Source organism: Homo sapiens, chromosome 17 (assembly GCF_000001405.40).
Source record: "Homo sapiens chromosome 17, GRCh38.p14 Primary Assembly".
NCBI classification, from domain to species: domain Eukaryota; kingdom Metazoa; phylum Chordata; class Mammalia; order Primates; family Hominidae; genus Homo; species Homo sapiens.
The window spans coordinates 4,137,167-4,158,296 of NC_000017.11; the positions used below are offsets into that span (position 1 = coordinate 4,137,167).

At 49.5% G+C, this 21,130-nt stretch overlaps 2 protein-coding genes and 1 long non-coding RNA gene across 14 annotated transcripts in view, besides 7 other annotated features; 1 reads left to right on the forward strand and 2 right to left on the reverse strand.

The window, feature by feature from the left end:
* The window catches only part of ZZEF1 (zinc finger ZZ-type and EF-hand domain containing 1), a 138,586-nt gene extending 132,722 nt beyond the window's left edge, over window positions 1–5,864 (reverse strand). For all 8 annotated transcript variants that reach the window (XR_007065288.1, NM_015113.4, XM_005256561.3 and 5 more), the window contains exon 1: window positions 5,376–5,864. Coding sequence is in view for 7 of the 8 variants with exons in the window: in NM_015113.4 (NP_055928.3) it covers window positions 5,376–5,729 (354 nt within the window). In the remaining variant the exon portion in view is untranslated. The remainder of the gene's footprint in view (window positions 1–5,375) is intronic.
* Window positions 5,590–5,759: a silencer, noted in NCBI's record as "silent region_8032". NCBI's record gives its function as "represses an Ori minimal core promoter by ATAC-STARR-seq in GM12878 lymphoblastoid cells {active_cell/tissue: GM12878}" and the evidence as "EXISTENCE:reporter gene assay evidence [ECO:0000049][PMID:35858748]".
* Window positions 5,590–6,176: a biological region, named in NCBI's record as "H3K27ac hESC enhancer GRCh37_chr17:4046085-4046636".
* Window positions 5,625–6,176: an enhancer, noted in NCBI's record as "H3K27ac hESC enhancer chr17:4046085-4046636 (GRCh37/hg19 assembly coordinates)". NCBI's record gives its function as "activates a minimal SCP1, AML or CMV promoter by ChIP-STARR-seq in naive H9 embryonic stem cells {active_cell/tissue: H9 hESC(naive)}" and the evidence as "EXISTENCE:reporter gene assay evidence [ECO:0000049][PMID:30033119]".
* Window positions 5,840–6,149: an enhancer, noted in NCBI's record as "active region_11535". NCBI's record gives its function as "activates an Ori minimal core promoter by ATAC-STARR-seq in GM12878 lymphoblastoid cells {active_cell/tissue: GM12878}" and the evidence as "EXISTENCE:reporter gene assay evidence [ECO:0000049][PMID:35858748]".
* CYB5D2 (cytochrome b5 domain containing 2) lies at window positions 6,002–20,535 on the forward strand. 5 transcript variants are annotated; one of them, NM_001254756.1, is made up of 4 exons: window positions 6,002–6,147; window positions 12,725–12,865; window positions 17,508–17,694; window positions 19,700–20,535. In NM_001254756.1, the coding sequence occupies exons 2-4, from the start codon at window positions 12,811–12,813 to the stop codon at window positions 19,914–19,916; spliced, it is 459 nt and encodes a 152-aa protein (NP_001241685.1). In that variant the 5' UTR covers window positions 6,002–6,147; window positions 12,725–12,810; the 3' UTR covers window positions 19,917–20,535. The 5 variants fall into 5 exon arrangements, with proteins under 5 accessions (NP_001241685.1, XP_047291289.1, NP_653212.1 ...); XM_047435333.1 differs by having other exon boundaries at window positions 6,031–6,068; NM_144611.4 differs by having other exon boundaries at window positions 6,031–6,839; window positions 19,700–20,531.
* Window positions 6,177–6,729: an enhancer, noted in NCBI's record as "NANOG-H3K27ac-H3K4me1 hESC enhancer chr17:4046637-4047189 (GRCh37/hg19 assembly coordinates)". NCBI's record gives its function as "activates a minimal SCP1, AML or CMV promoter by ChIP-STARR-seq in naive H9 embryonic stem cells {active_cell/tissue: H9 hESC(naive)}" and the evidence as "EXISTENCE:reporter gene assay evidence [ECO:0000049][PMID:30033119]".
* Window positions 6,177–6,879: a biological region, named in NCBI's record as "NANOG-H3K27ac-H3K4me1 hESC enhancer GRCh37_chr17:4046637-4047189".
* Window positions 6,300–6,879: an enhancer, noted in NCBI's record as "active region_11536". NCBI's record gives its function as "activates an Ori minimal core promoter by ATAC-STARR-seq in GM12878 lymphoblastoid cells {active_cell/tissue: GM12878}" and the evidence as "EXISTENCE:reporter gene assay evidence [ECO:0000049][PMID:35858748]".
* Window positions 17,671–19,027, reverse strand: LOC124903898 (uncharacterized). Its single transcript, XR_007065581.1, has 3 exons — window positions 18,781–19,027; window positions 18,124–18,258; window positions 17,671–17,757 (listed from the first exon to the last, which is right to left on the reverse strand). It is a non-coding gene; the product is annotated as an uncharacterized LOC124903898 (long non-coding RNA).
* Window positions 20,536–21,130: the final 595 nt, after the last annotated feature.

Consider the following 21,130-nt stretch of genomic DNA (forward strand, 5'->3'; position numbering starts at 1 on the left):
ACCATGGTGAGGTGGTATTTTGGAAATCAGGGAGAGACAAAAGAGCTGTGGCCCTTCCTCCATAGCTCTCCTAGGTCATGAATTTCTCCAAAGAAACCAATACCATTAACTCCCCCATAGCAAAACACACAAAGCCAAAGTAAGCAAAAATAATCTCCACTCGGCCAGGTGCGATGGCTCATGCCTGTAATCCCAGCACTTTGGGAGGCCGAGGTGGGCGGATCACAAGGTCAGGAGATCGAGACCATCCTGGCTAACACGGTGAAACCCCGTCTCTTACTAAAAAACACAAAAAATTAGCCGGGCGTGGTGGCAGGCGCCTGTAGTCCCAGCTACTCAGGAGGCTGAGGCAGGAGAATGGTGTGAACCTGGGAGGCGGAGCTTGCAGTGAGCCAAGATTGTGCCACTGCACTCCAGCCTGGGCAACAGAGACTCTGTCTCAAAATAATAATAATAATAATCTCCACTCACCAAGGATCTTTCCTGTACTGCCTCATCACCATCCACAGCCAGCCATCCCTTACCAAAGACCTCCTGTGTACAATGGTAGTGCAGGCAGGTGGCTGGCGGCCTCACAGCCTAGTTGCACAGCAAGGCCAGACAGTATGCTCTAAGTGCCAAAGGATCTGTACAGAACAGGTAACAGGAGCCTCAGCTGTAGGGCTGAAAACACCATTATGGAGACACTATCTGAATCATGCCACAGAAGATGTGGTGCTGACCAGGTGACAGTGCCAAGGTGGGGAATCTTCAAGAACTGATAGCAAGGTCCATACACAGGACAAAGGAGGTGTCCCACTAGCCAGCACAGGGCTCATGCGGGGGTAGGGGGAAGATAAATTAGGTAAGGGAGTTAGGAACAAAGCAGGCATCCCACTAGCTAGCACAGGGCTAGTGCAGGTGGGGGAAAGGTAAATTAGCTGAGAGAGTTAGGCTGATGTGTGGGCTTCAACCGATTCAGACAAATACATATTTGGTCCCTTGGGTAGTGGAGAGCTGAGGGCTCCCGGCTGAAGGCAAGAAAAGCTGGCAGCCTGCTGTTGCTTTATGGTGCACACACACAGCTCTTACAGTCAATAGTCTTAAAAGGGCAGATAATCACATCTGCAGATTCCTACGGCACAGTTCCTGGGCTCAAAGCCATTCTAAATTAGTTGATTAATACTTTTCACATAATAATATGAAGACGAGCACAGGGCTTTTCTACAAACTTCCTGTAAACCCGAAAGTGACTAAGAACCTTTTAAAGTTTTCACAAAAATCATATTTAACCGTTTCCTTCAATGTCAAGAAATATTAAAAGGTTACAGACTGAATATAAAATATGAGGTTTGAGTGTGTGTGGACTACAACTTCTACAGTCTCCCAAAGCACCTGGGCACTGGCAACCACCCAGGACTGTGCTAAGACGATGAACAGAGATGAATCAAAAAGGCCCTTCCCTTAGAGCTTACCACCCCACGAATTTCACAAAGTAGGCACCAAAACTATGTGGCAAATTAATAAAACACAACCTATTCATATGAAATTTCACTTTAGGGCCATCTGTTATCCTGTACTCAGCACGTTTTTCTGCCCTAGAAGATTTTCTAGAATCATACTCTAAGAGCATAAATATCTAATCTATAACCTCTGATGTGAAATAAGAACTTAATTTTAATTCTATTTCCCCTCTACATGGCAGTTAATTAAATATTGCTCCTTGTGAGCAAACTGAGAGAGTCCCTTCTCCCTGGACCACACCTACCATGAGAAAAGGTGTGTTGTACTATAAAATGATAATGTTTCAGACTTTGGTCCATGGTCCAACTCCAAGAACTTCTTTATAACACCTCCTCAAGTAACTGAGGTCACAGGAATGTGAAAGCAAGACAGCTGCGTGGACACCAATGGCAGCTAAGTTAGGAAGCCAAAGAAGAAACATGTAACACTTGGAAACTCTCAGCATTATAATAAACCATGCGCACCTTCTCCCTGGACCACACCTACCATGAGAAAAGGTGTGTTGTACTATAAAATGATAATGTTTCAGACTTTGGTCCATGGTCCAACTCCAAGAACTTCTTTATAACACCTCCTCAAATAACTGAGGTCACAGGAATGTGAAAGCAAGACAGCTGCGTGGACACCAATGGCAGCGTAAGTTGGGAAGCCAAAGAAGAAACATGTAACACTTGGAAACTCTCAGCATTATAATAAACCATGCGCACCCGTGGCTATCTGTTTTACCATGTTAGCTCTTATAAAAACGAATGACGGAAACAACTTGTCATTTTAGTTGCTACTATAAAGACATTACTTCACAAGCCCTTCATCTTGCAGTAAAATACAGCAGTATATTCTCAAAAGCTTAGACGTAGATTAACAACGCAGAATTAACTGTGTAAGTATGCACAAAAGTATATACTTATTCAAGTCTAAGGATAGACATTCTTAAAGCACAGAATCAAATGCATGGCTAAATCTTATCTTCTTTGGCTAGTCCTAACTTACTAGTTCTTACAGACAGAGCAGCCATCACAAGATTATCATGAGAGACGGTGGCCACTGTGAGATTATCACAATCAGGTTTTTAAACCTTGGCTAAGCCTCACTCACAGAACTGTATGACCTAGCTATGTGAATCAAAGACTGCCAAATATAACTCAATGTTTTCTCTCCCCTTCCTCAATAATTAAGCCCTGAGTTTTAGCTGAATATATGGCCACGGAAAAAGAATCTTTCCCAGCCTGTCCTGCAGGTAACTGCGGCCATGTGACTGAATTTTGGCCTGTGGGATGTAAGCTATGCCCGTAAGAGAGTGGGCATGGCTTCTTCCTTCTCCTTCCCTTTTCCCTTTCTTGCTTGTTGGAATGTGGAAAATGACAGCAGGAGTCAACAGAATTACTAAGTGGAAGATGTCCGTGGAGGATGACAGCACAAGATGGACGAAGCCAGGTCCCTGATGATGACAACACTGCCACATCAATCTTGGACTGCCTACCTGGACATTTTCATAAGGAAGCAGCTTCTTTTTATGTTTAAACCACTGATGCATTAGGTTTTCTGTCCCTTGAAAAAGTTTTGTGTATCCCTAATACACCACACCAGACTTCTTCCAGATTCTCTGGACTTTGAACTTTTGTGGATACAATTTCCTCTGCCTGAAACGCTGTTACTACCTCCTGTAACACTATCTGCTTTCACCATTCACCTGTGGGCTGAAATGTTACCTTCTCAGGTAAGTCTTGCTTGAGCCCCAAGTGAGGTTAAATACACTTGCTATTTATTCCTTATACCTTCCCCCTCGGTTAACACTCACCATATCTTATAATTAATGGGTTAATACCTGTCTCTTCCACCACAACTACATACTCTTTAAGAGCAAGTATCTGCTTTGTCCACTGTCATCCAAGTGAGTGGCACTCGATATACGCCCAATAAACATTTGCTCAGTGAACAATAATGCCACAACCCCTGAGTGATTTCTGGACCACACCTCAAGTATTTCTTGACCTTCTATTAAGGGACTCCTATGAACTCTACATAAAGTTCTATTTCTGTCAGAAACTCTCAGAATGTAAACGGTGTTTCTCTCCATTTGCCTTTGCTCAAATCTGCAAAGTGCCATCTCCTTCAACAGTTCTGCATGGTTCTTCCCACTACTACTTCATATTCTCATAATACGCGTAGATACTAGAAAGAAGGTACTATGTGTATTCCTGGGGGGAAAAAAAAAGGAGATCTTTCACTAACTAATATGACTTTTTTTTTTTTTTTTGAGACAGAGTATCGCTCTGAGGCCCAGGCTGGAATGCAGTGGCGTGATCTCAGCTCACTGCAACCTCCGCCTCCTGGGTTCAAGCGGTTGTCCCACCTCAGCCTCCCAAGTAGCTGGGATTACAGGCACCCGCCACCATGCCCAGCTAATTTTTGTATTTTTAGTAGAGGTGGGGTTTCACCACGTTGGCCAGGCTGGTCTTGAATTCCTGACCTCAGATGATCCTCCCGCCTCAGCCTCCCAAAGTGCTGGGATTACAGGCGTGAGCCACTGCGCCCAGCCATGACTATTATTTTTAAGGGTTGGGATGCCTTAAAGGTACTTTTTTCATAAGAAACACACAAACTACATTATCTGAATTCTGGCCATGTACAGGAAGACATTCTTAAAATATTTTAAAAGCCTCTGATTTTAAGGTGAACAGAACCTTTTAAAGGCACTGCAAGTACCCGCTGGTTTACTGCTTTATGTACACACCCTTCGTGGCCACTGAAGATTCTACATGACTGGCTAACTCATTTTCACAAAATAAGTACCTTTTTGGTCATACCGTGGTGTTAAAAGAAATAGGATCCCAGGAAGGAGGTAGTGAGACATTAAAAACAAAAAATAGGGTGCGGGTGGAGGGAGAGAGAGCATCAGGAAGAATACCTAATGGATGCTGGGCTTAATACCTGGGTGATGGGATGCTGTGTGGAGTAAACCACCATGGCACACGTTTACCTATGTAATACATCTGCAAATCCAAATCCTGCACATGTACGCCTGAATTTAAAATAAAAGTTGAAAGAAAGAAAAAAAAAAAAAGCAAGAGATCTAGTTGATAGTCTGTTTTACTAATGATTCACTGGGTAACCCTGGATCAGTCTTCTTAACTCGAAGTGAAGCGCCCAGTAAATAAACTCCCAAAATGCCTTCCAAGGAAAATATTTTGTTGCCAAATCAATTTGCTCTCTTAATGACTTAGCAGACATGATCTTGGTGATTATATGAAGAACTGCATAATTACAAGTATTCACAGGAAACCTGGTATTTGCCTATCAGTTTCGGATCCTATGAAGGTTTAAATGAGTCTAATATATGGTTCTTTAAGGATCTACAAACCAGTATGTATTTTAGAAAAGCTAGTTTTTGCATGAGGAGGATAGGTTTTAGAATGTGAGCCTTTCCAGCATGTTACTACTGTCTTTCCACACTTATTCGGCGCCCACACTGAATTGGGAAGGTGCTGTGTAAAAACCTGGACAGGACAATACAAAAAATGGTTCTCAGCGCCACTCCTCCTATCCTTACATCTCTTTTCTCTCCAAACTGTTCGAGAATCTGATAGAAGATCTCCAGAGTAGCGTCAATCAACTGCACAAAGGTCTGCATTACAACATACAGAGAGAGACATATGGGCTTGTCCAGCTCTTCAGAGCAAGGACGGCCTGATGCAGACTTTCCAGACCTCTAACATAGGTTAAAGAGAAACGAAGCAAACGCCTGGTGAAAAGCTGGAAACACCTCATATGGGTCCCCGCCTGGCCTCTCCAAAGCAAATGCCCACCTCTTCCTTCAGTCCCCTGGGGGCGACCGCCCTGCCCCATCCCCGCAGTCGCCTGCCGGCCCTGACCTCCTCGAACTGCTCGCTAGAGCAGCCGGCGCCGCGAGCCTCCAGCAGCTCCCGGAACTGCTCCAGAGTGACAGACTCTTCGCCGCGGCCCAGCCGCTCTTCCAGCCAGCGAAACAACGCGCCGCGATGCCTCGACACCAGCGACTCGCAGGGGGGTGTGGGCAGCAACGCTGCAGCAGCCTCTCGCAGCCTGGCCGGCTCCAGCAGCGCCGCGGCGGGTGGTAGCGCTGGAGCCGCGACGCCCGGGCCGGGGGTCGTGCCCGAGACCGCGGCCCAGTCCTGGTGTGGGCCCCAGCCCTCGCCACCGGCAGCTGCCGCTTCGTCTTCACTGCTGTGACTCGGAGCGTTCCCCATGGGGTCTCCGTCTTGGGCGCCTGGCTCTGCAGCCGCCGCCGCCGCCTCCCCGCCTCGACCTGTCAACCTCCGACAGCAGCTGGCGGGCGGGGACGCGGAGGAGACGACGGCGGCCCCTGCGGCTTCCGGCTTCCTGGCCGTCAAGCGACGACCGCTGTCGCAAAGGCGCCGTCACGTAGATAGGCGGCCTCTACCAACTCACGACAGCTAGGCGGGGAGCGCCGCCTCAAAGGGTGCAACCTTGATTTCCCAGAGGACGAGTCTGTCTCAGTATCTACGTCATTCCGTAGCCTCCGCTGCCGCCATCTTTGTTGGGGCTGACAACCTGCAAGCCAAGAAGTACGAGAAGGGCCAGGCGCGGTGGCTCACGCCTGTAATCCCAGCACTTTGGGAGGCCGAGACGGGTGGATCACCTGAGGTCAGGAGTTCGAGACCAGCCTGACCAACGTGGTGAAACCCTGTCTCTACTAAATACAAAATATTAGCCGGACGTGGGGGCGCGTGCCTGTAATCCCAGCTACTTGGGAGGCTGAGGCAGGAGAATCGCTTGAACCCGGGAGGCGGAGGTTGCAGTGAGCCGAGATTCCGCCAGTGCACTCCAGCCTGGACAACAAGAGCTAAAACTCTGTCTCAGAAAAAAAAAAAAAAAGTACCTGGAAAAAGTCGCAGACAGCGAGCTTTTCGCCAGTGCCAGGAATACAGATAAAACGAGAGAGACTAAGGGAGGGAGCGCGAGCACTAGCGCGCGAGAGAGAGAGCGAGAGCGCGCGCGCCGATGACGTCACGCTCGGCGTCTCGGCCATCTTAGCTGTAGATAGAGGCGGCAACCTCGGAAGTGCGGAGCGGGTGGGCCTATATAGATGTTGAGGTGCGGAGGCCGTGGGCTTTTGTTGGGCCTGGCTGTAGCCGCAGCAGCGGTAATGGCAGCACGGCTTATGGGCTGGTGGGGTCCCCGCGCTGGCTTTCGCCTTTTCATACCGGAGGAGCTGTCTCGCTACCGCGGCGGCCCAGGGGACCCGGGCCTGTACTTGGCGTTGCTCGGCCGTGTCTACGATGTGTCCTCCGGCCGGAGGCACTACGAGCCTGGGTCCCACTATAGCGGCTTCGCAGGTATCAGCGAGGCTGCTCACGCCTTTCTCTCCGCTGGCGCGAGCCAGTAGCCACCTGCGCGTCGTTCGTTGGTTCATTATTCATCTATTTCCCCCCCCATCCCCACCCCACATCCATCAAACCCGTGCGGTGGGCGGGACGAGCTGCATGCACTATCCTTCTAGGCTCTCTGGCTCTGGCGGGACTGTGGGCCAGCTCTGTCATCCACCACCGCCCTGCGTGACTTACATTGGAGAAACATGTCTTCTGTCTCTTGTTACCCATTACCCAGCGTCGGAAGCCCTAGGATACGGGCTGTGTGCCGGACTTTTGTGGGGGCTCTTAGGGCACAGATAAACGAGATCCCGCCCCGCCCCTACCCTCACAGTTTCCTTAATAATTCCAACCATCTCTTCATTATGCCCTGGTCCCAAATAATCTTTCTTCCCCCCACCCCTAAGCATAGTGTTTTCAAGGTTCATCCATGGTTTATGAGCATGCATCAATACTTTATTCCTTTATGGCCCGTCATATAGTACATTTGGTCTGAGTCATTCCTGCTTCTAGTACAAGATGCACCTGTTTGCCTTCCTTAGAAGGTTAGGGCAGAGGAAAGGGGTCCAGTCACCTTTACAGTCCTTGATACGTAGACCAAAGTTGTGCATATGTTAGGCCTCAAGAAACATTTGTCAAATTAAGTTTATGCTGGTGTCCCTGTGTTACAGCTGAGGGGGTTAAAGGATGCGATTTGCCTGAAACCCTCACACCTGAATACTGACAGAATATGGACTCGGACCACCAGTCTAGTGCTTTTTTTTTAAAGATGGAATCTCGCTGTGTCGCCCAGGCTGGAGTGCAGTGGCCTGATCTCGGCTCACTGCAAGCTCTGCCTCCCGGGTTCACGCCATTCTCCTGTCTCAGCCTCCCGAATAGCTGGGACTACAGGCGCCCACCACCACGCCCGGCTAATTTGTTGAATTTTTAGTAGAGACGGGGTTTCACCATGTTAGCCAGGATGGTCTCGATCTCCTGACCTTATGATCCGCCCACCTTGGCCTCCCAAAGTGCTGGGATTACAGGCGTGAGCCACCACACCCGGCCAGCCTAGTGCTTTTTTACAGATGTTGCCTTGCCAGCCAGCGGGACTGACCTCCAAAATTTAAAAAGAAAAAAAAAGTGCAGGGCAAGCCTAAGATCAGCTACTAGGCTGACATTAAATAAGCATTTTCCACTTGTCATTATCTTAGGGGAATTGGGAAGCTGCCTCTAGCACTTAAAATACAAGCCACTTCCCTCTGTCTAGGAAGTACTAAAGAAATACAAAAGTTGACAGAAAAGGAATGAAGTCCAGTTGGTCTCGCAAATCCCCTGAGATAGTCCAGCAGGGGAAGGGACTTACTCAGGGGTACACAGTGAGTTAGAAGCAGAGCTGGGACTGGAATCAAGGTGTTTTGTCGCTGCTAGTTGAAGGCAGTTTTCGTTGCGCTGCCCTGCTGCGTGCTGTGGGAGCTGTCGTTGGATGTTTGCACAAGTGTGGGCATAAAACCTTCGATGTCTGGAGTGCTTTTTATTTTTCAGTGTGCTCTGCTGTTTACTGAGCTCCCGTGTTCTGGTATTCATTGACCATCTTTATTTACCACTACCTACCTTGTGTCAGGGGCTGTGGAATCCAAGATGTCTGCAACATGCTCCCCACCGCCCACACAGTCTAGTTGGGAAGCAGTTATGTCCACGTATTCGTTCATTCAGTATTTTATTTCTCATTGAGATGTAATTCACGTGATGTAAAGTCCTTTTAACGTATACAATTCAGTGGGGTTTTTTGTTGTTTAGAGACAGGGTCTGCCTCTGTCACCCAGGCTGGCGTGCAGTGGCATGATCTTGGCTCACTGCAACCTCCGCCTCCCAAGCTCAAGCAATCCTTCCACTTCAGCCTCCCAAGTAGCGGGGACCATAGGTGTGCACCATCACGTGCAGCTAATTTTTGTATTTTTTGTAGAGATGGGTTTTCGCCATGTTGGCCAGGCCGGTCTTGAACTCCTGAGCTCAAGTGATTCAGCCGCTGAAAGTGTTGGGATTACAGGTGTGAGCCACTGCCCCCAACCTTTTTATTTATTTATTTTTATTTTTCGAGATAAACTGGTTCTTTAGCCCAGGCTGGAGTGCGGTGGCGCAATCTTGGCTTACTGCAACCTCTGCCTCCCGGGTTCAATATTCTTGTGCCCCAGCCTCCCGAGGAGCTAGGATTACAGGCGTGTGCCACCATGTCTGGCTAATTTTTTTTATTTTTAATAGAGATGGGGTTTTGCCATGTTGGCCAGGCTGGACAGGAAATCCTGGCCTCATGTGATCCACCTGCCTAGGTCTCACACAGTGCTGGGATTATAGGTATGAGCCAAAATTCAGTGTTTTTTTTGTTTTTTTGAGATGGAGTCTCACTCTGTCGCCCAGGCTAGAGTGCAGTGGCGCAATCTTGGCTCACTGCAAGCTCCGCCTCCTGAGTTCATGCCATTTTCCTGCCTCAGCCTCCCGAGTAGCTGGGACTACAGGCGTCCACCACCACACCTGGCTAAGTTTTTGTATTTTTAGTAGAGACGGGGTTTCACTGTGTTAGCCAGGATGGTCTCGATCTCCTGACCTCGTGATCTGCCTACCTCAGCCTCCCAAAGTGCTGGGATTACAGGCCTGAGCCACCGCGCCTGGCCCGGTGGGTTTTTTTTTTTAGTATAGCCAGAAATTTGTAAAAATGTCACCACTAACTCTAGAACATTCTTCTCACCCCAGAAAGAAACTTCTTATCTATTAGCAGTCACTCCTTATTCCTTCCTTTGCCAACCACTATCTACTTTCTTTTCCTGTCGATTGGCCTATTGTGGGCATTTCATGGAGTCATACGTGTGGCCTTTTGTGTCTGGCTTCTTTCACCTAGCATCATGTTTTAAGGGTTCATCCATGGTGTACCAGCATGTAGCAGTGCATTATTCCTTTATGGCTGAAAATATTCTATAGATACTATAATTCTAATAATATGGATATACCACATTTTATCTATCAGTTGATGGATTTTTGGTTTCTTTCTACTTTTTTTGCCTGTTATAAATAATGCCACTATGTACATTCATGTACAAATGTTTGTGTGAGCTGGGCACAGTGGTCCATGCCCGTAGTCTCAGCTACTTGGGAGTTGGAGACAGAAGAATCCCTTGAACCGAGGAGGCAGAGGTTGCAGTGAGCCAAGATCGCACCACTGCACTCCAGCCTGGGCGATACAGCGAGACTCTATCTCAAAAAAGAAAAAAACTATGTATTTAATTCGTTTGATATTTACTGGGAATTTACTAAAGATCAGGCACTGTACCAGACACTGGGGAATCCATAGTAAATGAGTTTGGTGTGTTGTCTTACCTGATAAAACTTACTAGTAGAAAAGACAGACATTAAATAGATATTAAATAGATATTACACAATTAATGTATTATTTTTGTGAAAAGTGTTAAAAGGAAAAGTACTGGTGTTACCAGAGGCTGTAACCGATTTGAAGAGGAGGAGAGGAAGGGAGCAAAGTGAACAATAAAGAACGTGGCAGTGGCCAGGTGTGGTGGCTCACGCCTGTAATCCCAGCACTTTGGGAGGCCAAGGTGGGCCGATCACCTGAGTTTGGGAGTTCGAAACCAGCCTGACTAACATGGAGAAACCCCATCTCTACTAAAAATACAAAATTAGCCGGGCATGGTGGCGCATGCCTGTAATCCCAGCTACTCAGGAGACTGAGGCAGGAGAATTGCTTGAACCTGGGAGGCAGAGGTTGCGGTGAGCCGAGATTGTGCCATTGCACTCCAGCCTGGGCAACAAGAGCGAAACTCTGTCTCAAAAACAAACAAACAGAAATTTGGCAAGGCAGCGTTGGTGGCAGCTGGTGCAGGACAATGAATGACGTGTTAAGGAATTTGGACATTCTCATAGAACAGAGGGAAGCCTCTGAGGATTCTTTGGCAGGAGAATGATGTGATCAGTTTGTGTTTAAAGTATCAGTTGAGTGTGGTATGAAGAGCAGATTGGTGGGGCAAGAATGAATGCAGGGAGGGCTTCCTTGAGGTTTGCTGTAGGAGTTCAGGTGAGAAAGGATGGCAGCCTGGGCTTGCTTAGATGTGGGTGGAGACAGGCAGACTGACACAAGAACACTGCTTAGGCAGAAAATAACAGGACTTGGAGACTGGATGTGAGGGATGAAGGAAGTGTTAGGAACTGCAGGCTGGGCATGGTGGCTCACGCCTCTAATGCCAGCACTTTGGGAGGGCAGGGCGGGAACGTTACCTCAGGTCAGGAGTTCGAGACCAGCCTGGCCAACGTGGCAAAACCCCGTCTCTGCTAAAAATACAAAAATTAGCTGGACGTGGTGGCGGGCACCTGTAGTCCCAGCTACTCAGGAGGCTGAGGCAGGAGAATGGCTTGAACCCGGGAGGTAGAGGTTGCATTGAGCTGAGATTGCGCCATTGCACTCCAGCCTGGGCAACAGAGCGAGACTCAGTCTCAAAAAAAAAAAAAAAAAAAAATGGGGAACTGCATTCCCCAGGCTGGATGCGGTGGCTCACACCTGTAATCCCGGCACTTTCGGAGGCCAAGGTGGGTGGATCACCGGAGGTCAGGAGTTCCACACCAGCCTGGCCCATCTCTACTAAAAATACAAAAATTAGCCAGGCATGTTGGTGCGCATCTGTAGTCCCAGCTACTCGGGAGGCTGAGGCAGGCAAATCGCTTGAACCCGTGAGGCAGAGGATGCAGTGAGACAAGATTGTGCCTTTGCATTCCAGCCTGGGCGACGAGCAAAATTCCGTCTCATGCACAAAAAAAAAGAACTGCATTCCTGGATTGAGCAACTGGTTGGCATTTACTGAGACAGGCAATACTGGAGTAGATACAGGTTTCCTGGCTGTGAGGGTGCTGATAATCACTATTTCAATGTGGACTTTTTTTTTTTTTTTAAGAGAGATGGGGTCTCACCCTGTCACGCAGGCTGGAGTGCAGTGGCATGGTCATAGCTCAAACCCCTGGGCTCAAGCAGTCCTCCTTATTCAGCTTCTTGAGGAGCTGGGATTATGAGCATTAGCCACCACGCCCAGCCAGTGTGAACATTTTGATCTTGTGATATCTGTAAGACGTCTAAGTGTTGTTGGATATACAGGTGTGAGCCTTGGGAGACATCTGAGCTAAAGATACAGATGTGGCTATCTTTGCCTGTAGGTGGGCTTTGAAACCACAGGTGTGGATGAGATTGTCAAGTGTGAGGGTGTGGACAGTAATTGACCCCTAAGGCTGGTAGACAGTGAGGAGCTGGAGAAGTAGGAGGAAAATCAGGCCAAGGGAAGTGGTCAGCTGTGTTAAAGTTTGCCGAAGGTAAAAGAAAGAATATGACCAATGCCAAAGAGATGTGTGTCCAAGGTCTAGGAGCATCTTTCACAGAGGAGGTGGTGGGGACCCCATTTCCCTGGGGATAAGGAGTAGGGCTTGTCAAGAGACGTTTCTCAGAAAGCAGTTTCTGGCCAGGCGTGGTGGCTCACACCTATAATCCCAGCACTTTGGGAGGCCAAGGTGGGCGGATCACCTGAGGTCAGGACAAGCCTGGCCACCATGGTGAAACCCCATCTCTACTAAAAAAATACAAAAATTAGCCAGGCGTGGTGGCGGGCGCCTGTAATCCCCGCTACTCTGGAGGCTGAAGCAGGAGAATGGCTTGAAAGCGGAAGGCAGAGGTTGCAGTGAGCTGAAATCATGCCACTGCACTCCAGCCTGGGCAACAGAGTGCGACTCCGTCTCAAAAAAAAAAGAAAAAGAAAGAAAACAGATTCTTGAGTGGGGATGGTGTCAGTGGTTTACACCTGGGTCTGATGGAAACATCTCTGTTCCAGGCCGAGACGCATCCAGAGCTTTCGTGACCGGGGACTGTTCTGAAGCAGGCCTCGTGGATGACGTATCCGACCTGTCAGCCGCTGAGATGCTGACACTTCACAATTGGCTTTCATTCTATGAGAAGAATTATGTGTGTGTTGGTAAGTCGTCCATAGGTCATACATTTCATTTGGTTGTCTGCAGTGTTTTTAGGGGGCTGAGATTTTTTAGGGATTGGGTTCAAGCTTAAAATCTGAAAAACAGCCATGGATTTGTTTTACTTTAAATTCTGGTCGTTAGAATAGGGATGAGCCGCCCAGAAGGAGATGGATGGGCACCTGCTTCCCCCACTCTTAGTCTTGGGAGAGGATTACTAAGCTGCTTGCTTTGGCCTCAGTTTCGCCATAGCCAGTGGTTGCTTGCACCATCCTTGAACAACCAGCTCCAGAAGGGCAGCTTCCCTGTCTCACTGTGTTCGATGCATCTGGCTTCAGCACACAGCCAGAAGGGCTTGAAGCCTGAATTTGTGTTTCGACAAATCCCCTTTTATTTGGTCCTCTAGGAGGAGACAAACTTCGTGAGTGAGCTGTCTCCCAGGTGGTAGTTATGCTAATCAAACCACTGTGTAGGTTACTGCACTTGCTACTTACTGATGCTACATAAGGGACTTGCTTCTCAAATGAGACAACACCAAACTGTGTCCTAAAGCAGTGTTAAAGACTCTAAACACTAGGCCCGGCGCAGTGGCTCACGACTGTAATACCAGCACTTTGGGAGGCTGAGGCGGTTGGATCACTTGAGGTCAGGAGTTCAAGACCAGCCTGGCCAACATGGTGAAACCCTGTCTCTACTAAAAAATACAAAAATTACCTGGGCGTGGTGGCACGCACCTGTACTCCCAGCTACTCAGGAGGCTGAGGCAGGAGAATCGCTTCAGCCCGGGAGATGGAGGTTGCAGTGACCTGAGATTGCGCTACTGCACTCCAGCCTCAACGAAAGACACTAAACACTAGATTGCTTCACAAGTACTGACAACTGGGATGGCCGTAGCCCTTTCTTCTATCTATCTGCAGCCCCCACGTCTCACTGGAGTCCTACTTGGACATGACTGACTTCCTGAGGAACACCAGTATCACTTCACCATCGAAACAGGTCTAACTTGGAAGAATTCTTTCCTTAATGCCTCTGAATTTCTGCTTCTGTCATCACTGCTTGAGTTACCTTTTCTGAGAACCTTGGCATTTTTATTAACACCTCAGCTCCCTCCACATCCAATCAATCATGGCTTTTTCATAATATCTAAAGTTTGTGTCCATCCATTGTGGGCCTCTGCAGCACGCCTTTCTTCATTTTCTCTCGTATGCCCAAGATCAGTCTTGAGACCATAACCCTGTCTACCATCGAAGGCACTGACCTCTACTCACCTGCGCTTCAGAGGGCTGGGTTCTTCCCTTTCCCAATGAAGTTGCCAAACCAAGGTTGAAACATTACTGGGTTAATAAAGAAAAGAAAACCCAATAGAAAAGAATAAGAGCCAGGAGTGGTCTCTCACACCTGTAATCCTAACACTTTGGGAGGCCGAGGTGGGCGGATCACCACCTGAGGTCAGGAGTTCAAGACCAGCCTGGCCAACATGGTGAAACCCTGTCTCTATTAAAATACAAAAATTAGCCGGGCATGATGGCAGGTGCCTGTAATCCCAGCTACTCAGGAGGCTGAGACGGGAGAATTGCTTAAACCTGGAAGACGGAGGTTGCAGTGAGCCAAGATCGCACCACTACACTCCAGCCTGGGTGGCTGAGTGAGACTCTGTCTCAAAAAAAAAGAAAAAAAAGAAAAAGAATAAGAATGGAGTCCAGACCGGTGGCTCATGCCTGTAATCCCAGCACTTTGGGAGGCTGAGGTGGTCGGATCAGTTGAGGTCAGGAGTTCAAGACCAGCCTGACCAACATGGCAAAACCATGTCTCTACTATAAATACAAAAAATTAGCTGGGTGTGGTGGGACACACCTGTAATCCCAGCTACTCAGGAGGCTGAAGCATGAGAATCACTTGAACCTGGAAGGCAGAGGTTGCGATAAGCCGAGATCACATCACTGCATTCCAGCCTGGGCAACGGAGTGAGACCCTGTCTCAAAAAAAAAAAAAAAAGAACAGAGTCCTGTAAATGGGCAAAGAATGCCAGGCCAAATACTTCATACTAAGATTTGGGAGCACACTGGAAGTGTTCGGATGCGTTTGGTGTGACAAGTGAGCTGGTCTTGTTTGAATGATGTATAATGTGTTGAGGATGGGGTGGGGCATGTGGCGGGAAATGCCTCAGAAGGATTTTAGTTGATGTCAGGATCTTATTGAATACCTACTACTCATAAGTTACGGGTTCCATCCTCAGGGGGACCAGGGATGAATTGAGTCCAGTTCCTGCCCCTGTTAGCTCATTCTGTAGGATAGGGGCCATGTTAGGCTCTTTCAGGTTACCAGAAACCCTCAGGATACATCAGTGGATGAAGGTTTATTGTAAGGGTACATACTGAAGTGAGGACAGCCAGGAAGCCATCTTGGCAGCCAACATGGCCAGGCCTCAAGGGAAAACAAGATGGCCTTGGTTATGCTGTGGATACAGGATTGGCTTGGAGATGCAGCCACTGGTGATCACCATTCTCATGACACAGATTCTAGAACTCTTCCTCTGTTGCCTCTGCTACTACTGTCCTCTCTTTGGGTCTCATGTCAGAAACTCACCAAAGACAGGCTTGTCACCATATAACACAGACACCCCAACCCCCGTAGTGGGAAATTCTGTGCCAGGCCAACTCATAGACTGCAGGCCTGTGACTCGGGCCCTGATTCCTTTCTTTATTCATCTAATAAGTATTTAAAATGAATGCTCTATGCTAAGCTGTTTTATTTATTTATATATTTTTTCAGATGGAGTCTTGCTTTGTCACCCAGGCTGGAGTGCAGTGGCACGACTGCAGCTCACTGCAACCTCCAACTTCTAGGTTCAAGCAGTTCTCCTGCCTCAGCCTCCTGGGTAGCTGGGATTACAGGCATGCACCACCACGCCCAGCAAATTTTTGTATTTTTAGTAGAGACAGGGTTTCACCATGTTGGCCTGGCTGGTCTCGAACCCCTGACCTCAAGTGATCTGCCCGCCTCAGCCTCCCAAAGTGCTGGGATTACAGGTGTGAGCCGCTGCGCCTGGCGCTAAGCTGTTCTGAGTACTGCGCCTCACTAGTAGAGAGAGCCATCATAGACAAGTAAACAGATTGAACAACTCCACATAGGACCATGCATCAAACTGTGATGTAATACGTTTGGGAGCTTTGGCTCCTTTAGAGCACATGCTCAGGAGTGGCTTCTTGGAGAAAATGACCGTTAAGCTGAGACCGGCAGGTGAGTGGGAGGCAGCCACACCGAGACCTGAGGAGAGTGTGCTGGGTCAGGGAAGAGCGGTGCGAAGGTGGGGAGTGGGGAAGCACAGCCAAGACACAGAAAGGAAGCCAGTGTGCTGGAGCCCCCCGTGAACGAGGGGGGACGTAGCTTGTAAGAGGCTGAAGAAGCAAATCAGTTAAATGGTTACAGGGCCTTAGAGGCCTTGATAAGAAATTTGCATTTTTGTCTGCTTTAAGAAGCCATTGAAGGGTTTTAATCAGGCATCGGAGAGCCATGGTAGGATTCATGTTTTTAAAAGATCCCCTAGTTGTTTTATGGACAGAGAACTCTAGGAGGGCATGAGCTGACCAGAGAGCAGTTAGGAGGCCACTGCCACAGTCCGTGGTTTGGAGGAGGGTGATGGCAGTGGGAATGGAAAGGAGTGAACAGAATCAGGATCTGTTCAGAGGTAGGACTGACGAGGTTTTCTGATGGATCCGATCAGACAGCAAGGAAGGGAGTATGATGTGGATGTAGAGGAGGAGGAGTCAGGCTCCTAATGCAGGTCACAGGCTAGAGGCAACACGGATTTGGGAAAGTCAGGGAGGGCGTTGGACTTGGGAGACGAGCTGAATCTCAGATGCGCTGAACATACGCGCCACTAGAATCGAAGGTAAAGCTAGTTCTTAGGGGTTGCTCCCTCTTCGGTCGCACCTCCCTCAAGTGCTTCCTTTCTGCTTCTCTTGCCTTGTGGCAGGTGCTGCCTCTGAAGGGCATTTGCACCTCAGGACTGGGCTACATTAGGACCCTGGGCTGAGAGAACTGACCTGTTTTTCCTTCTGGCCTATAGGCTGGTGGACCACTTGCTGGCTGCTGCCATAGCTTAGACTTTTACAAATTCTGACAGGCATTTTAAAGCCGGGCACAGTGTGACTTACACCTGTACCCCCATCTACTCAACAAGCTGAGGTGGGAGGATTGCTTGAGCCCAGAAGTTCAAGACTAGCCTGGTCAACAGAGTGAGACCCCATCTCTATTATAATAAACATTTAAAAAATGTTAGCCAATAAGCCATTCATTCATCAAACATTAATTGAATACCCAGCGTGTGCTCCAAGCACATGGAAGCATGGAGAAATGAATCACACATGGCTGTGCCCTCAGGGAAGCCTTGTCTGGAAGTGAGAGAGGTTTGATGGTTTCTGTGCTGAAGGGCTCTGCAGCTAGAAGAGGGATGCAGCTGTGTGGGGGCTTGTAGGGTGCTAAGAGGTTGGTGTGCAAGGCACCAGGAGTGCCTGCAGTAGAAGTTCTTATTAAACGCGCACCAGCAGGACTGAAGTCAGAAACCCTGGGAACTTGTGCCTTCCCACACCTGCCTCAGCAGCTGAGTATTCACTCTCACTCACATCTGCCTTCCTGTCATCACAGGGAGGGTGACAGGACGGTTCTACGGAGAGGATGGGCTGCCCACCCCGGCACTGACCCAGGTAGAAGCTGCGATCACCAGAGGCTTGGAGGCCAACAAACTACAGCTGCAAGAGAAGCAGACATTCCCGCCGTGCAACGCGGAGTGGAGCTCAGCCAGGGGCAGCCGGCTCTGGTGCTCCCAGAAGAGGTAAGCAGGCTCCCCTTCTTCTCCTTTCTGCCTGTCCCAAATCCAACTCCTAGGCCATCCTGCCTGCAGTATTCAGTGAATTCAGGAATTGATTGTTAACCCTGGGGAGCTTTTTCAAAATACTGATAATAATTCTCAACTTTGGCTGCATATTAGATCTTCTGGGGAATTGCCGAAATTACGGATGGTCAGACCTCACTCCACTCAACTGAATGGGTTGAGACTTGGACTTGAGGCCTGGGCATCTTTTTATTTTTTCCGAATTCTCCAAAGATCCTGCTGACACAACCTTGACCCGGGAATGAGAAGGCACAAGCAGGATTTCTTGCTTTCTTTGGCCTGCTCAGCCACCCACGGGCTTTGGTTTCCTGTTTGACAGCACAAATCATGCCTATCTATAGGAGAGGGACGAGGAGGTGGGGAGGGTACCTGCAGTGATGGCTTCAACTGCTGTCTTAAAAACAGGTGAGGCGGGCATGGTGGCTTGTGGGCCACACCTGTGGTCCTGGCTACTTGGGAGACTGAGGCAGGCAGGTCGCTTGAGCTCAGGAGTTGGAGTCCAGCCTGGGCAACATAACAAAAAAACAGTAACAAACAAAAAAAACCACTGCAAATTCGGAGTTCTCAGCCTTAAATGAGCGGAGCAAGGGCAAAGGTAGCAGGAAGGAAAGCTCCTTCTTTCCTGGCCGCTAGCTTTGAAGAGACAGCTTCTCCAGTGTCATCTCAAGAAAGAGGGGACTGTGAGAACCTGGCCTGCTCACTTTATGGAGAGAAGCTAAGATAGGCGTGGGCCTTCCTGTGACACAGGCCTGAATGCAGGTAGCCTCAGAGAGCACTGGTCTCTGAGACTCCAGGAGGAGGAGACTCCAGGAGGCCTGCGTGCGTTCAGATGCTTGACTTTGCTTCCTTGGGCCCTGCCTCCTTTTCCCTCCCCACAGCCTTCCCCTGTGTCTCCTGAACCTCTTCTTGCTTTCATGACTGAGTAGTTCAGGCTCTGCCTTCCCCACAAAACCCTTCCAGGGCCACCCTAGTGAACTGCGGGGCCCTATCCCTGTGCCTCAGCTCAGTTTGTTGTCTTCTGTTCACCTGTGTGTGTCCCATTAGACTGAGAGGAACAAGTGCCGAAGGCAGGGACAAGGTGTGGAGTACAGATCCCCAATGATGGGATGGAGGCTGGGTAGAAGAGGGAGGCGTTTGGGTGACAGCCTTGTTCTTGGTAAGCTAGAAGTAGGATGTTTTCTCGCTGGGGGCAGTTTCTCTGACAGCAGGCACCGGAAGCTGTCTGAGGCGTCAGTTCCAAGAACCTCAGTTTCTTTCTTGCAAGGCCTCTGAGTCCATCAGAGACTGAGCCCAGTGCCCTGAGGTGGGCAAGGCCCCTGCCCAAGATAGGAGGGTGCTCAGGTTGTTGGGCCACAGCTGAATCCTCCGTGTCTGAAGCCTAGTGCCATCAAGGACTGGACCTGTGGGGCACAGGACAGCTTGCAGCTACACTCTATGCCAAGGGCTTCCCAGAGAAGGCCGACCCAGGTGGCCAAGGGCCAGGGCCCAATTGCCCACCCCCAGCCAAGTGCCCCAGAGAAGAAGGTGAAGACCCTGACCTGCGCTGGGTTGTAGTGGGGAAGGAAGAGGACAGTCGCACCCAGACACTGCTTCTGAGAAGCTCACAGGCCAGCAGGGGAAGCCCTTTCACAGCTGTTGCCACCAGTGCAGGAACGTGGTGCTGCCTCCTAAGAAGGGGCAGGGCAGGGGCTGGGGAGCACAGTGAAAGGAACCATGGACTGTGCCCTTGGCCTGGGGAAGGTGGTGGTGGCCCTGCAGGGGAAGCTGGAGGATGTTAGGAGAGAGCATGAAGGCTCAGGGGCTGAGCGCTGTAGCCTGCTGCCTTGGGAAACACTCTGGTAGGCTTCTACTTTTCAGAAGGCCTGGCTCTCTGCTTCCTGCTCTCCCCTTCCCAGAGACTCATGAGTTCTCACATTTAAGAAGTCCTCTTTCCGTCTATCCTTAGTGGAGGTGTGAGCAGAGACTGGATTGGCGTCCCCAGGAAGCTGTATAAGCCAGGTGCTAAGGAGCCCCGCTGCGTGTGTGTGAGAACCACCGGCCCCCCTAGTGGCCAGATGCCGGACAACCCTCCACACAGAAATCGTGGGGACCTGGACCACCCAAACTTGGCAGAGTACACAGGCTGCCCACCGCTAGCCATCACATGCTCCTTTCCACTCTAAGCCGTAGCCTCTTCTGTTAATAACACACAGAGAGCTCTGCCAAGCACCTGAGTAGGCCCTTGACACTTGTGTGCCCTGGGATGCCTCCTGGCGCGAATCAGGAGGGTCTGGAAGGACTCTGGCTATATTCTGCAAATGTGGCTCATGCCCCTTACCGTGGCTCGGCGTTGTGGTGCCTGAGGGACAGCCGGCCACCTGCCCAGTACTGGTCAGCTTTTCAACACTATTCCCTTTGACCTACTGGCCATCTTCCTCACAGCCCTCAGATATCAACGGGCACAAATAAGACCAACTCAATTTCCACTTGAATTTACAACCAAAAGCCTGCTGAGTTGATTACAGCTGGGCCAATACAGTACGAGGCAATAACAAATTAGTGTGGGTTGATTCTGGAATTGGAAAAGCTTTTGCTTGTATGGATACAGCAAATCCAGATGTCTCTGAACAAAGCAACAATTTAAAGCAACGACATTTTCTGTCCTTTAAGCACTTAAAATCAGGTGTGGTGTGTTTTCAAAGGCAGAAGTCTGCATTTTGAGCAAAAGGTGGCTTCCCAGCTCTAACAAGGTAACTGGTTAGCATGACATTAAAGCTTGGGCAAGGCTTCAAACTTAAGGTGGCTGGGCTTGCTGCTTGTCCAGTGGTTTGTATGTCCAGCGTCATCTGGCAATGTCATACCTGTTACCTCTTGACTACTTGTGAAGGTAGATGGGGGCAAGGAGTGTTCCTACTTCAGACAGAGAAGTGGGACCAGCACTACCACAGACAGCGCCACGGCCTCTGTGCATCGCCTCATCAGAGCTTCCACCCAGCTCCCTTTGCCGCTCAGTCTCACCCTCAACATCCACCAGCTTCCTCCCTCTCTGTCACTGTCTCCTTTTTCTCCATCATTCATTTCACTAAATCGCTTTCCAGATTCACAGACTAGAAAATGGAGGCTGCCTCCCCTTCACTGGCAGACCCGTACTCACTGCCCCTGTCCCCTTCACTGGCAGACCCGTGCTCACTGCCCCTGTCCCCTCACTGGCAGACCCGTGCTCACTGCCCCTGTCCCCTCACTGGCAGACCCGGGCTTATTGCCCCTATGGCCACAGCTGTTCCTTACACTTGGGCTCTGGCTCATGGCTCCTTTTGCCTGCCCCCGCCATCCTCCTCACCTGCCCCTCTTGTACCTTTAACCTCTCCCCGTCTCCTGGATCTTCCCCCAGGTATGC